The sequence below is a fragment of the Homo sapiens genome, chromosome 5 (genome assembly GCF_000001405.40).
Source record: "Homo sapiens chromosome 5, GRCh38.p14 Primary Assembly".
Classification (NCBI taxonomy): Eukaryota; Metazoa; Chordata; class Mammalia; order Primates; family Hominidae; genus Homo; species Homo sapiens.
In genome coordinates this window covers 70,497,707-70,513,699 of record NC_000005.10, presented here as the reverse complement: position 1 = coordinate 70,513,699, position 15,993 = coordinate 70,497,707, and the positions used below count along the sequence as shown (strand labels likewise).

The following is a 15,993-nucleotide window of genomic DNA, read 5'->3' as shown; positions in this document are numbered from 1 at the left end:
GCAAATACTATGTCATTTTATATCAGGGACTTGAGTATCCTTTGTTACCCTCAGGAGATCCTGAAACCAGTCCCCCATGGATACTGAGGGCTGACTGTATAGTCCTATCCTCACGGAACTTTCATTCTAATGGGGGAAGACTGACTATAAACAAAATGTATGTAATAGGTGGTGGTAAGTACCGTGGAGAAGTAACAAACGGGGCAAAGTGAGTTATACAGCTCCATTCTTAGAAACCTTGGAGTACTTTTCTTAGTTTATACTCGTGGTGGTTTCCTTTTGTCTCCTTTATTACATGGGACTCTGACATGTGCCCATAGCTAGGGTGACAGTAGGATCTACCCGATAGTAGGGTGGCAGTAGGATCTACCCAAAAAGCGTCCTGCTGATACAGGACCAAAGCATCCTGTTGTTCTCGAGCCTATAAAAAGAGCTAATGGTCTTGCTTCTCTTAACTGTGGCCTCCTACACTATGTTTTGGATGATTGGTGATGTCTTGGATATTCTGTTTCTTTGGAACTTTGAATATACAACACTTTTCTAGGGAATTAGCAATGGAAGCAGAGCAAAGATGTACAGAGGAAACAATGCGTAACTCTGATGGAATTGAAGTCATGAGGCAGCAGAGAGCTTAAATTACAGCTTTAAAAATTTTTATTTTTTAGAGGGAATTTACTTGGGAGTAACAGCAGTAATAGTTAACGGAGCCAGAATGCTTGAGTCATATAATTGCAAAGCAGAGTTGGGAGCAACAGATGCTAAAGAGTAGTTGCTGTAGTTCCTCTTTGGGTCGTAGGAGCAGTTGTCATATTACCATATAGCTACTGCATGAAGAAGAGTTCTTAGTGAGGCCTGGATGAACAGCTCTTCTTAGTATTCTGTGTGACCCCATTTGACCTTTTAACAAATCCCTAAGTAAATAAATAGCCCCTCAGGTAAACTAAGTTTTTCTCTGCTGTTTTTTTGCTTGAGAGAGCTATAACTGTAATAGACTTATATTTCTGAACATTTTAGTGCTTGCCAATATTTGGTAATATTTATGTTTCCTATATTTGTAATGAACATTCTTCTTCCGGTACATTTTTTGTTAAATTATTGTTTGATGGATAAAAGTTCACCTTTTATTGTATAAAATTGACTGAGATTAATTTATACACATTGACAATGGGTAAATAGAATTTTTCAGATTATTAAAAGCTGAAGGATGCCCACGTAAGCAAAAAAAAAAAAGAAAAAACCAACAAAAATAAACCCAAACCCCTCAAACAATTTCGAACACGAAACATTCTTCTGATGCCGGCATCCCTGCTTGCAGGTGTGAAGGGGGCAGGAATCAGCGAGGTGTCCTGGGCTGAGTCCCCGGAGTGGGAAGAGGTGGCAGGAAGGGGATCTGAGGAGGAGAACAGGGGTCCTGGTGGTCTGTGCTTCTTCCCAGACACGGGAGCTGTAGAGGAGACCTCTGCAGCAGATGCTAGGGGGGCCAGTAGGCCCAGGCAGTCTTGGGACTTGGGTCTGTCCTGCTGTGCATCCATAGTGGGTGCTTTAGAAACGGGAGGCCCACCCGAAGCCCCTGTTGCAAGTGAGGACAAAGTGTGGGAAGGCCGTGAGGGTCTGCAGTCCGAGATGGCCTTGTCCTCAACGTGCAGTGCAGTGTTGATGCGGGGCCTAGAGGCCTGGGATCTGGGGGAGCCACCCCTGGGGGCAAGTGTCTGCCCTGGTGCTGTACCTGCCTTCTTCTCACAGCGGGTGTGACCCGAAGAGACAGCCTGAGGTCCGTCCTCACTCACTGTGTTTGAGGAACTGTGGGCCAGCTGGCAGTGGGATGAGGCTGGCCCCCTCCTCCGCTTTAGTTGCGGGAGGCCTTCCGTAGAGCTGTGGGAGCTGGAGCTGGCATTTCCTTGGAGGCAGGATCTGGTCCGGGAGGTCTGGGATCTCTGGTTATATCTCACTTCTGACCTCTGGACACGTGCTGCAGCTGTGGCTGAGGCCAAGAAATGTGAGGGGCCTCCATCCACTGCATTGAGTAGTGACCCCGACGTGGGGTGCAATGTGGAGGGGGGAGGGGCTGCTGCTGCAGCTGCAGGAGCCGAGGTGCCAGGCCTTGTTCTTCTCATGCCGGCATCGCTGCTTGCAGCTGTGAAGGGCGCGGGAATCAGCGAGGTGACCTGGGCTGAGTCCCGGGAGTGGGAAGAGGTGGCAGGAAGGGGATCTGAGGAGGAGAACAGGGGTCCTGGTGGTCTGTGCTTCTTCCCAGACACGGGAGCTGTAGAGGGGACCTCTGCAGCAGATGCTAGGGGGGCCAGTAGGACCAGGCAGTCTTGGGACTTGGGTCTGTCCTGCTGTGCATCCATAGTGGGTGCTTTAGAAACGGGAGGCCCACCGGAAGCCCCTGTTGCAAGTGAGGACAAAGTGTGGGAAGGCCGTGAGGGTCTGCAGTCCGAGATGGCCTTGTCCTCAACGTGCAGTGCAGTGTTGATGCGGGGCCTAGAGGCCTGGGATCTGGGGGAGCCACCCCTGGGGGCGAGTGTCTGCCCTGGTGCTGTACCTGCCTTGTTTTCACAGCGGTGACCCGAAGAGACAGCCTGAGGTCCGTCCTCACTCACTGAGGAACTGTGGGCCAGCTGGCAGTGGGATGAGGCTGGCCCCCTCCTCCGCTTTACTTCGTGGAGGCCTTCCGTAGAGCTGTGGGAGCTGGAGCTGGCATTTCGTTTGAGGCACGATCTGGTCCGGGAGGTCTGGGATCTCTGGTTATATCTCACTTCTGACCTCTGGGCACGTGCTGCAGCTGTGGCTGAGCCCAAGAAATGTGCGGGGCCTCCATCCACTGCATTGAGTAGCGACCCCGACGTGGGGTTCAATGTGGAGGGGGGAGGGGCTGCTGCGGCAGCTGCAGGAGCCGAGGTGCCAGGCCTTGTTCTTCTCATGCCGGCATCCCTGCTTGCAGCTGTGAAGGTGGCAGGAATCAGCGAGGTGACCTGGGCTGAGTCCCGGGAGTGGGAAGAGGTGGCAGGAAGGGGATCTGAGGAGGAGAACAGGGGTCCTGGTGGTCTGTGCTTCTTCCCAGACACGGGAGCTGTAGAGGGGACCTCTGCAGCAGATGCTAGGGGGGCCACTAGGCCCAGGCAGTCTTGGGACTTGGGTCTGTCCTGCTGTGCGTCCATAGTGGGTGCTTTAGAAACGGGAGGCCCACCGGAAGCCCCTGTTGCAAGTGAGGACAAAGTGTGGGAAGGCCGTGAGGGTCTGCAGTCCGAGATGGCCTTGTCCTCAACGTGCAGTGCACTGTTGATGTGGGGCCTAGAGGCCTGGGATCTGGGGGAGCCTCCCCTGGGGGCGAGTGTGTGCCCTGGTGCTGTACCTGCCTTGTTTTCACAGCGGTGACCCGAAGAGACAGCCTGAGGTCCGTCCTCACTCACTGTGTTTGGGGAACTGTGGGCCAGCTGGCAGTAGGATGAGGCTGGCCCCCTCCTCCGCTTTAGTTCCTGGAGGCCTTCCGTAGAGCTGTGGGAGCTGGAGCTGGAGCTGGCATTTCGTTTGAGGCAGGATCTGGTCCGGGAGGTCTGGGATCTCTGGTTATATCTCACTTCTGACCTCTGGGCACGTGCTGCAGCTGTGGCTGAGGCCAAGAAATGTGAGGGGCCTCCATCCACTGCATTGAGTAGTGACCCCGACGTGTTGTTCAATGTGGATGGGGGAGGGGCTGCTGCGGTAGCTGCAGGAGCCGACCTTGTTCTTCTCATGCCGGCATCCCTGCTTGCAGCTGTGAAGGTGGCAGGAATCAGCGAGGTGACCTGGGCTGAGTCCCGGGAGTGGGAAGAGGTGGCAGGAAGGGGATCTGAGGAGGAGAACAGGGGTCCTGGTGGTCTGTGCTTCTTCCCAGACACGGGAGCTGTAGCAGGGACCTCTGCAGCAGATGCTAGGGGGGCCACTAGGCCCAGGCAGTCTTGGGACTTGGGTCTGTCCTGCTGTGCATCCATAGTGGGTGCTTTAGAAACGGGAGGCCCACCCGAAGCCCCTGTTGCAAGTGAGGACAAAGTGTGGGAAGGCCGTGAGGGTCTGCAGTCCGAGATGGCCTTGTCCTCAACGTGCAGTGCACTGTTGATGTGGGGCCTAGAGGCCTGGGATCTGGGGGAGCCACCCCTGGGGGCGAGTGTCTGCCCTGGTGCTGTACCTGCCTTGTTTTCACAGCGGTGACCCGAAGAGACAGCCTGAGGTCCATCCTCACTCACTGTGTTTGAGGAACTGTGGGCCAGCTGGCAGTGGGATGAGGCTGGCCCCCTCCTCCGCTTTACTTCTTGGAGGCCTTCCGTAGAGCTGTGGGAGCTGGAGCTGGCATTTCGTTTGAGGCACGATCTGGTCCGGGAGGTCTGGGATCTCTGGTTATATCTCACTTCTGACCTCTGGACACGTGCTGCAGCTGTGGCTGAGGACAAGAAATGTGAGGGGCCTCCATCCACTGCATTGAGTAGTGACCCCGACGTGGGGTTCAATGTGGAGGGGGGAGGGGCTGCTGCGGCAGGTGCAGGAGCCGAACTTGTTCTTCTCATGCCGGCATCCCTGCTTGCAGCTGTCAAGGGGGCAGGAATCATCGAGGTGACCTGGGCTGAGTCCCGGGAGTGGGAAGAGTTGGCCGGAAGGGGATCTGAGGAGGAGAACAGGGGTCCTGGTGGTCTGTGCTTCTTCCCAGACACGGGAGCTGTAGCGGGGACCTCTGCAGCAGATGCTAGGGGGGCCACTAGGTCCAGGCAGTCTTGGGACTTGGGTCTGTCCTGCTGTGCATCCATAGTGTGTGCTTTAGAAACGGGAGGCCCACCCGAAGCCCCTGTTGCAAGTGAGGACAAAGTGTGGGAAGGCTGTGAGGGTCTGCAGTCCGGGATGGCCTTGTCCTCAACGTGCAGTGCACTGTTGATGCGCTGGAATGCCGTCTCTTTTTCCAGGTGCAGGTCTTCAGCCGTGACCCGGTACCCCAGCTCTAAGGGAGGTGGCAGCATCAAAGGCTCCCCTCGCCTGCGTGGCAGCAGGGGAATCTTGCGTCTACGGGGCCTAGAATCCTGGGATCTGGGGGAGCCACCCGTTGGGGCGATTGTCTGCCCTGGTGATGTATCTGCCCCCTTTTCACACCGTGTGTGACCCGAAGAGACAGCCTGAGGCCTGTCCTCACTCACTGTCTTTGAGTAACTGAGGGTCAGCTGGCAGCGGGATGAGGCTGGCCCCCTCCTCTGCTTTAGCCCCGGCAAGCCTCCCGTGGAGCTGTAGGAGCTGGAGATGGCATTTCGTTTGGTGCTCGAGCTCGTCCAGGATGTCTGGGATGTGTGGTTATATCTGATTTCTGAGCTCTGGGCGTGGAGGTCTGTCTGCAGAGGCCCGGGCCTGGGCACAAAGGGAGAGGGGCCTCCATTGTCCCGCAGGGGCCAAAATGCAGACCGTGCATCCCCGGTGACCTCGGGGACCGTTCTCTGATCATCAGGATTTTCTTGGACTCTGGGGTCCTTGTCCTGCTCAGGCATCCCTGCCCTGCTCTCCTTGAGGGCCCTCAACACTATCTTCCCTGGACACAAGTCTGGGGACAGCCGGGTGTTGTGGACCCCAAAGGGGTGACTACCTGCTCCTGGGCCCCACAGAGTCCTTGTGCTCAGTGTAGTGGCTGGGCTGGGGGATGCCCTGGAACTCGGAGCACACAGCACTGGCTTACTGTGGTACCTGTGCAGTGAAATTGAAGACAGAATCACCAGGATGGAACACAGGTCTTGCAGGATCACGGAAAACCTTCTTAGAGTTGTCTTGACACCACTGATGTCGAGTGTGCGGGTGTTTGTAGGATGGCCTGCCACTCAGTCCAGGGGCAGGAGCAACGGGGAGATCCCACAAGCAAAGTGAACTGGGGGATGGGCTGAAGGGGCTCCAGGCAACTGAGCCCTACTCGCAGGTCCTCGGCCTTGGCCCAAACAGGAATGAGGGGCACAGAGTGCCCGGGTAACCGCTCCTGGGAGCAGTGGGGAACTGTCGGATACTTGAACTCTCAAGAGCTGGGCTCTGAGCGTCCTCGTCCAGCTGCCAACTTGGCCAAAGGCTAAGCCAGCAGATTGTTCTGTTGCCGGGCAACGCGACTTCTAAACCTGAGGGAGTGGGCATGTGAGCACATAATGGCACCAGTGACAGAGCGACCATAATGGATGAATAAGCGCAGCCAGGTACCCGCGCAAGGCACCTGCTGGCAATGGCAGGAGGCGGACGTGGGGGGCCGTGCAGTAGGTACTGGAGGGAGAGACGTGGGCACAAAGGTCGCGGGAGGAACAGGTGCCCACAATGGCTGCATATTTGCCCGTGGATCACTGAAGATTCCTGCTCTCCTGCTGAGGTGGAGACTGCAGTGAGCTGAGATCGCACCATTGCACTCCAGCCTGGGCAACGAGTGCAAAACTCAGTCTCCAGATAAAAAAAAGAAAAAGAAAAAAAAGAGGCCGGGTGTGGTGGCTTATGCCTATGATCCTAGCACTTTGGGAGGTCGGGGTGGACGGATCACGAGATCAGGAGTTGGAGGCCAGCCTGGCCAACATAGTGAAAGCCCGTCTCTAGTAAAAATACAAAATTTAGTCAGACATGGTGGGCAGGAGAGAGCATGTGCAGGGGAACATCCATTTATAAAACCATCAGACCTCATGAGACTTATTCACTACCATGAGAACAGCATGGGGGAAACTGCCTCCATGATTCAGTTATCTCCACCTGGCCCCACCCTTGACACATGGGAATTGTTACAATTCAAGATGAGATTTGGGTGCGGACAGAGCCAAACCATATAATTCTTCCCCGGCCCCTCCCAAATCTCATGTCCTCATATTTCAAAAGCAATCATGCCTTCCCCTAAGTCCCCCAAACTCTTATTTCAGCATTAACTCAAAATTCCATAGTCCAAAGTCTCATCTGAGACAAGGCAAGTCCCTTCCACCTATGAGCCTGTAAAATCAAAAGCAAGTTAGTTATTTTCTAGATACACAGGGATACAGGCATTGGGTAAATACACTCGTTTCAAATGGGAGAAATTGGCCAAAGCGAAAGAGCTACAGGCCCCATGCAAGTCCAAAACCCAGCAGGCAAATCTTAAAGCTCCAAAATGACCTCCTTTGACTCCATGTGTCACATCTAGGTGATGCAAGAAGTGGGTTCCCAGGGTCTTGGGCAGCCCCGCCCCTGTGGCTTTGCAGGGTACAGCCCCCCTTCTGGCTGCATTGAGTGTCTGCAGCTTTTCCAGGCACACAGTGCAAGCTGTCAGTGGATCTACCATTCTGGGGTCTGGAGGATGGTGGCCCTTTTCTCACAGCTCTGCTTGGCAGTACCCCAGTGGGGACTCTGTGTGGGAGCTCCAACCCCATATTTCCCTTTGACACTGCCCTAGCAGAGGTTATCCATGAGGGCCCCCCCCTCCCCTCCCCCCCACAGCAAACTTTTGCCTGGATTTCCAGGCATTTTCATACATCTTCTGAAATGAAGGCGGAGGTTCATGACCGTTAATTCTTGACTTCGGTGCATCTGCAGGCTTAACACCACCTAGAACCTGAAAGGCTTGGAACTTGCACCCTCTGAAGCCATGGCCTGAGGTGTACCTTGGCCCCTTTTACCTATGGCAGGAGCAGCTGGGATGCAGGGCCCCAAGTTCCTAGGCTGCACACAGCAGGGGGTTCTGGACCCACAAAACCATTTTTCCTTCTAAGCCTCCTGGCCTGCGATGGGAGGGTCTGCTGTGAGGGTCTCTAACATGCCCTGGAGACATTTGCCCCATTGTCTTGGTGATTAACATTTGGCTCCTCATTACTTATGCAAATTTCTACAACCCAGTCTCCTGAGAAAATAGATTTTTCTTTTCTGTTGCATCATCAGGCTACAAATTTTCTGAACTTTTATGCTCTGCTTCTTCTCGAATGCTTTGCTGCTTAGAAATTTCTTCTGTCAGATACCTTAAATCATCTCTCTCAAGTTCAAAGTTCCACAGATCTGTAGGGAACTCTAGAAAAAAATTCTTATTTTCCCTCTTTCCCGCCTATCTTATGCCCGTTTCTAATACAGGTGCACAATGCCTGCAGTGTCTTTGCATAGTAAGAGTGACTTTACTCCATTTCCCAACAAATTCCTCATCTGCCTCTGAGACCACCTCCGCCTGGACCTTGTTGTCCATATCACTATTAACATTTTGGTCAAAGCCATTCAACAAGTCTCTAGGAAGTTCCAAACTTTCCCACATTTTCCTATCCTCTTCTGAGCCTTCCAAACTGTTCCAGCCTCTCCCTGTTACCCATTTCCAAAGTTGCTTCCACATTTTCGGGTATCTTTACAGCAGCACCCCACTCTACTGGTATCAACTTATTGTATTAGTCTGTTCTCACACTGCAAATAAAGACATACCTGAGACTGGGTAATTTATAAAGGAAAGAGGTTGAATTGACTCACAGTTCTGCATGGCTGGGGAGGCCTCACAATCATGGTGGAAGGCAAGGAGGTGCAAAAGCATGTCTCACATAGTGGCAGGCAGGAGAGAGCATGTGCAGGGGAGCTCCCATTTATAAAACCATCAGATCTCATGAGACTTAGTCACTACCGCGAGAACAGTATGGGGGGAACCATCCCCATGATTCAGTTATCTGCACCCGGCCCCACCCTTGACACGTGGGAATTATTACAATGCAAGGTGAGATTTGGGTGGGGACCCATCCAAACTATGTCAGTATGTTTTGACTTCTTGCTTGATTGCTAGGTTGCATAGAGGACAAACATGGAAATTAATGAAGTACCTTAATATCTGGCTTCAGATCTTAGACAGGATCAGAGGGCCAGCTCAAATTTGCAAGGAGGGGAGGTAGATCCCACCATTTTATGGGTGAATGGCAAAATCAAACAGAAATTATGTGGGATGGGAGATACTGATGCAGGCATCTTTGGAAACATTCTACTTAGCTAATTTTATGCTAGGCTTTAGGTCAAGAAGGAGAGAGAGAGCTGACATGCTGTGGTACACACTTATAGTCCCAGCGACTTGGAAAGCTGAGGCAGGAGGATTGCTTGATCCCAGGAGTTTGAGGTAGTGTGCGATGATCGTTCTTGTGAATAGCCACTAGCCACCGAACTCCAGCTTGGGCAACATTGAGACACCCTGTCTCTTAATTTAAAAAAAAAAAAAAAAAAAGGAGGAAAGAAAGTGGTCTCAGTTTTTAATGTAAATATTTTTAATGGGATACTGATATTTTAAGATTAATGTATATTGTATATCAGTTAACTGCAGGTCAATAATTATATAAAACTTAAGGTACGAAAAACATTTATTTTTGCTAACATATCTGTGAGTTGACTGTTGTTGGCTTGGTGAGGCTGCAAGCTGCAGATAGAGTCTAGGTATGTTTTCTGTGTGTTTGTTCCCCCTTGGATCAGTGGACTACCTGAGAATGTGTTTTTGTCACAGTGATAGAATCACAAGGAAACTCCAGTTCTGGAAGTACATTTTAAGCCATTGCTTCTCTCATGTCCACTAACATTCAGTCAGCCAAAGCACATACCTTGTCCATGGCTAACATTGATAGTATAGATAAATATACCTGATCTCTAGCAGGAGGAACTGCATTGTCTTGGGGAAAGGTTTTAGATATAGGGAGGGGTGATGAGTTGGGAACAATAATGTAGTCTGCCGCAAACATATTAAAGTGTAACTGGATATGGTTGCTGCAGAATTTTGAACCTTTGTTTTAATTGTGATTTTTACTCTTTCCCCCCTATCTAGTGCCCTTTTGTAATACAGTAATTATGATTTTTGTCTGAACTGAAATCTTCTGAGATTAGATTGTCTACGAAAATACAGTCGATCCTCCTTGTTTTCAGCTTTTGTATTTGTGAACTCACCTACTATTTTTTGTAACCCCCAAATCAGTACTCACAGCACTTTCATAGTCATGTGTTTGCGCAGAGTGTCAAAGAATTTGAGTTTGAACAGGATGATATTCTGCCTTCTTTTTCAGCTCTCATACAATAGTCAGGTATCCTTTTTGTGGTCTATTTAATGCCATGCTTTTCCTGTTTTTGTACTGTTTGTTGGTTGTTTTGCCATTTAAATTAACCCCCAAGCATAGTGCTGAAGTGCTGCTTAGCATTCACAAGTCCAAGAAGTCTGTGATGTGTCTTACAGAGAAAATACATGCATTAAATAAACTCCATTCAGGCGTGAGTGCTGTAGTGCCGTTGGCTGTGAGTTCAATGTTAATGAATGAACAATGTATATTATTTATTTATTCTTCATTTAATTAATTATTATTATTATTTTTTTTGAGATAGAGTCTCACTCTGTTGCTCAGGCTGGAGTGCAGTGGTGCAGTCTTGGCTCACTGCAACCTCTGCCTCCTGGGTTCAAGCGATTCCCCTGCCTTCGCCTCCCAAGTAGCTAAGACTACAGGCATGCGCCACCATGCCTGGCTAATTTTTTTTTTTTTTTTTTGTAGTTTTAGTAGAGACGGGGTTTCACCACGTTGGCCAGGCTGGTCTCGAACTCCAGACCTCAAATGATCTGCCCGCCTTGGCTTCCCAAAGTGCTGGGATTACAGGCGTTAGCCACTGTGCCTGGCCAACAATATATATTAAATAAGCACACATACAACAAAAGTAGGTGTTGGTAAGCTTACAAAAGTGTGACCAGTAGCTTGCTGAAACCTAACTTTTTATTTGTTCATGGAACTTTCTAGACCGTAACTACACTGAATAATGAGAATCTGCTGTAATCTTTTTAGGTGCTGTAGATGAGCCATTGGATTAAATTATTACAGTATGTTTCAGACTGCTGTATGTTGAACCCTAGTGAAATGCCTCTCAAACCTTCATAAGGATCACAATCTCATGTCCTTTTTTTTTGTTATTAAATGCCCAGTATGTGTTAGCGATTTAAACAAAATTCAAATATTTTTTTTTTTTTTTTTTTGAGACAGAGTCTCGCTCTGTCACCTAAGCTGGAGAGTGCAGTGGTATGATCTCGGCTCACTACAACCTCTGCCTCCCGGGTTCAGGCGATTCTCCTGCCTCAGCATCCTGAGTAGCTGGGATTACAGGCACCCGCCACCACGCTGGGCTAATTTTTGTATTTTTAGTAGAGACGGGGTTTCGCCAGGTTGTCCAGGCTGGTCTGGAACTCCTGACCTCATGCGATCTGCCTGCCTTGGCCTCCTGAAGTGCTGGGATTATAGGCGTGAGCCACCATGCCCGGCGTTGACTTCTTAATAATAACCATACTGACTGGTGTGAGATGGTATGCCATTGTGGTTTTGATTTGCATTTCTCTAATGATCAGTGATATTGAGCTTTTTCTCATATGCTTGTTGGCCGCATGTGTGTCTTCTTTTGAAGTGTCTGTTTATGTCCTGTGCCCACTTTCTAATGAGATTTTTTTTTTTCTTGTAAATTTGTTTAAGTTCCTTATCAGTGTTGGACATTAGATCTTTGTCACATGCATTGTTGCAAAAATTTTCTCCCATTCTGTAGGTTGTCTGTTCACTCTGTTGATAGTTTCTTTTGCTGTGCAGAAGCTTCAAGAAGAAAGGAATCCGATTGGTTCTGTGTCTGTCTCTTTTGGTATTCTCAGAATTATGTAGTCATTCATATAGAAAGATGATTAGGAAAATAGGACAAGAATAGCAGAAATCTACATAAAAATGTAGGAAATTAAAATTAGTTACCAGCATACAAAAAACTTCTGTATGTTATAATTACATACTATAACTCACCCCTCCTTGGCAAATATTCTCTCTCTTTTGACTTCAAAATCATGGCTTATATGTACTTTCTCTATTTCCCAGATGCAAATATAATTAATTGACTTTATTTATCTAGGAAATGTTACTCATATCTTAATTGTAGTCATTGGCTTGAGTGACGGGTTTTGGTAATTCAACTACTATTACTTGAAAGTAGTAGATTTCATAGGATACTGTTATAAAATCTTTTTAACCTCTTTTCTGATTTCAGGAGTAATTAGTAATTGTGGTTTACTGGAAAATTCAATGAATAGGGTGTTAAAGGAAGCAATTCATTAATAATATATGTAATCTATTGGGAGACTGAGGCGGGTGGATCACCTGAGTTCAGGAGTTCGAGACCAGCCTGGCCAACATGGCAAAACTCCGTCTCTACTGAAAATAGAAAAATTCGCCGGGCATGGTGGTGCATTCCTGTATTCCCAGGTACTCGGAAGGCTGAGGCAGGAGAATCACCTGAACTCCAGAGGTGGAGGTTGCAGCGAGTCAGGATCGCAGCACTACACTCCAGCCTGGGTGACAGTGAGACTCCATCTCAAAAAAAAAAAAAAAAAAAAAAAAAAAAAATTAAAAAATTAAATTAAAAGCGGGCTGGGTGCATTGGTTCAGGGCCGGGCACGGTGGCTCAAGCCTGTAATCCCAGCACTTTGGGAGGCCGAGGCAGGCGGATCACGAGGTCAGGAGATCAAGACCATCCTGGCTAATGTGGTGAAACCCCGTCTCTACTAACAATACAAAAATTAGCTGGATGTGGTGGCAGGTGCCTGTAATCCCAGCTATTCCAGAGGCTGAGGCAGGAGAATCACTTGAACCTGGGAGGCAGAGGTTTCAGTGAGTCCAGATCATGCCACTGCACTCCAGCCTGGGTGACAGAGCGAGATTCTATCTCAAAAAAAAAAAAAAAAAAAAAGCAACAGAAGCAAATGAGAGTGCCTGGGAGTGGTCATTGTGGGGCCTTCCCGTTTGTGTGACCCAGGTCATGTCCCTCCCTAAGCCCTGGTCTCTCTTGCCTCCTGCAGGGCTGGTGAATTACCAGATCTCCGTCAAGTGCAGTAACCAGTTCAAGTTGGAAGTGTGTCTTTTGAATGCAGAAAACAAAGTCGTGGACAACCAGGCTGGGACCCAGGGCCAGCTGAAGGTGCTGGTGCCAACCTCTGGTGGCCGTACCTGATGCACGAACACCCCGCCTACCTGTACTCGTGGGAGGTAATGGTGGTTTGGGACTTGCGTAAGGGAGGTCTTTTGCCCCCATCTGGTAGCCCTGGCTTCAGCAGGAGCCCAGGACAGGTGAACGGGCAGGTGTGGTCCTCTGAGCTTTCTGATGTTTCCCACCCTTGGTGGGAGGCCCAGATTTTTTATTTATTTATTTATTTATTTATTTATTTATTTATTTGTTTGTTTGTTTTTGTGATGGTCTCACTCTGTCACCCAGGCTGGAATGCAATGGCCTGATCACAGCTCACTGCAGCTTTGAGCTGCAATCCTCCTACCTTGGCCTCCTGAGTAGCTGGGACTACAGGCACATGCCACCATGCCTGGCTAATTAAAAAAATTTTTTTTGTAGGCCGGGCATGGTGGCTCACACCTGTAATCCCAGCACTTCGGGAGGCTGACGCGGGCGGATCACTTTAGGCCAGGAGTTGGAGACCAGCCTGGCCAACATGGTGAAACCCCGTCTCTACTAAAATATGAAAATTTGCAGGGCATGATGGTGCACGTCTGTAATCCCAGCTACTCGGGAGGCTGAGGCAGGGGAATTGCTTGAACCCAGGAGGCAGGGGCTGCGGTGAATTGAGATCATGCCGCAGCACTCTATCCTGGGTGACAGAGTGAGACTGTCTCAAAAAAAAAAAACTCCTTTTTATAGAGTTGGGGTCTTACTAGGTTGCCCAGGCTGGTCTTGAACTCCTGGACTCAGGTGATCCTCCTGCCTTAGCCTCCCAAAGTGTAGGGATTCCAGGCATGAGCCACCTCGTCTGGTCAAGGAGAAGGCCTGATTTTGAAGGGCAGGTCCCAGGGTCAGCCAGTGAAGGGCAGAGCCTCTGGTTGCTGCTTCTCTGCAGGCCCAGTGGCGACTTCTGGGGTGCATGCACGAGGGGTCTTCCTGCTGTAGGGCAGGCCAGATGGGGCTCAGGCTGTCGGGGCGCTCACACCTGGCGCTTTGGCTGTCGTAGGTGCGGTTGACTGCACAGAAGTCACTGGGGCCTTTGACTTCTACACACTCCCTGTGGGGCTCCGCACTGTGCCCGTCACCGAGAGCCAGTGGGTGAGAGCCAGTTTCATTTGCGGTAGAGGCAGCAGAGGTTGTAGAAATGCTCCTTGAGGCAGATGCCACACCCCAATTTCATGGAGTGATTTGGGCTGAGCCGAGTCTGCAGCAGGCAGAAGGCTCTGAGATGTTGTCCTAGCCTGGGCAAAGGACAATTCAGAGCTCGGGGGAATAGGGGTGTGCTCAGCACGACTGGGTGGACAGGCCGTTTGTTGTGAATCGTACAGGCTTCCAGGAGCGGGTGCCTGAGGCTTCCAGACAGGCTTTGGGAGGTGGCCAGAGGAGATGCCTGTTTCCGGGGCAGGAAATGGAGGGAGGGCCCAGGCTGGAGAGGTTCAGCCAGGCTGTCACAAGGCTTTGAAGCTTCCCATCTGAGAGCCTGGCTATTGGAGAGTGTGGGTTTGGAACTTGAGGCTAGGAGGTTCTATTCTGTCCTGTGCCAGCCACAGCCTTCGGATGGGCAGAGCAATGATGGGGGGAAGATGTAAAAGAAAAGAACTGAGGAAAGAAGAAGAAAACCAGCTTCAACAACGGTCTAGGCCGGATGCGGTGGGTCACGCCTGTAATCCCAGCAGTTTGGGAGGCTGAGGTGGGTGGATCACCCGAGGTCAGGAGTTCGAGACCAGCCTGGTCAACAGGTAGTGAATCCTGTCTCTACTAAAAATACAAAAATTAGCTGGGCATGGTGGTGGACGTCTGTAATCCCAGCTACCAGGTAGGCTGAGGCAGGAGAATCGCCTCAGGTGAACCAGGAGGCAGAGATTGCAATGAGCTGAGATAATGCCACTGCATTCCAGCCTGGGCTACAGAATGAGACTCTGTATCTCAACAAAACAAAACAAAACAAAAACACAACAGTCTGTTCTGTGGAGGCCTTGGGCAGATGCTGGGAGCTCTGAGCACGGACTGGTCCCTCTGTTGGGAGCCTCTTCCCTTCATCCCTCCTGGTTAACTTGACTCAGCATAAAGGCCATTTCTTCTAAGAGCCTGTCCCTGACTCTCCAATCGGGGATGTGTCTGTTGTCTCATAGAGTGCCCAATTCCTGCCACCACTTGTCATTTCCATTCGCAACATTTCTTTCATTGTTTGTTTTTCAGAGTCAGGGTCTCACTCTGTTGCCCAGGCTGGAGTGCAGTGGTGCAATCATAGCTCGTTGCCATCTCGACCTCCTGGGCTTAAGCGATCCTCCCCACTCAGCCTCCCAAATAGCTGAGACCACAGACGTGCGCTGCCTTGCCAGGCTAAATTTTAATATTTTTTTTTCCCCACGAGTCAGAGTCTTGCTCTGTCTCCCAGGCTGGAGAGCAGTGTTGCGATCTTGGCTCACTGCATCCTCTACCTCCTGGGTACAAACAGTTCTCCTGCCTCACCCTCCCGAGTAGCTGGGATTACAGGCTCACGCCACCATGCCCAGCTAGTTTTCTTCTTTATTTTTTGTTGAGATGGGGTTTCACCATGTTGGCCAGGCTGGTCTCGAACTCTTGAGCTCGTGATCCACCTGCCTTGGCCTCCCAAAGTGCTCACAGGCTTGAGCCACCATGCCCGGCCCTAATTTTTAAATTTGTTGTAGAAACAAGGTCTTGCTATGTTGTCCAGGCTGGTCTCAAGCGCCTGGTCTCAAGTAAGCCTCCCAAAGTGCTGGGGTTCTAGGCTTGAGCCACCTCGCCTGGCACTTGCACCGTTTTTCTGTGCATGCATCTCCACTCCCACTGCCCAGGACCTGTGGACTTAGATTTGAGTCATTACTGAGCACCTAGCACCCAGCCTCATGCCTCCCTCCCACCTCGCACTACCTGTTTGCTTGATGCATTAATAAATATTCCACCTGAATCCACAGCCCATTCACTCCTGTGTTCAAGAGCTATTTCAGGAAGTGAACCTCATTTCTGGCAGTGTTCAGTCCAGTGACCTCAGCTCTGTGTACCCGGCAGGGTGGCTACGCCTCT

The 15,993-nt window shown here is 50.3% G+C and overlaps 1 protein-coding gene and 2 pseudogenes across 2 annotated transcripts in view; 1 reads left to right on the top strand and 2 right to left on the bottom strand.

Moving 5' to 3' along the window:
- GUSBP15 (GUSB pseudogene 15) overlaps positions 1-15,993 on the top strand; it is a 104,680-nt pseudogene that overhangs the window by 72,023 nt on the left and 16,664 nt on the right. The window contains exon 8 of the transcript NR_034021.1: positions 12,797-12,983. The product of NR_034021.1 is annotated as a GUSB pseudogene 15 (transcript). The remainder of the gene's footprint in view (positions 1-12,796; positions 12,984-15,993) is intronic.
- Positions 637-3,427, bottom strand: LOC124900992 (putative POM121-like protein 1-like). Its single transcript, XM_047417971.1, has one exon. It carries the CDS (start codon positions 3,159-3,161, stop codon positions 1,191-1,193), a length of 1,971 nt encoding a protein of 656 aa, XP_047273927.1. The 5' UTR covers positions 3,162-3,427; the 3' UTR covers positions 637-1,190.
- On the bottom strand, positions 4,875-5,564 carry LOC340089 (POM121 membrane glycoprotein (rat) pseudogene; annotated as a pseudogene).

Bases quoted from the DNA above. Each gene is read 5' to 3' on its own strand.
- LOC124900992 (XM_047417971.1), bottom strand. From the start codon at position 3,161: ATGGACGCACAGCAGGACAGACCCAAGTCCCAAGACTGCCTGGGCCTA.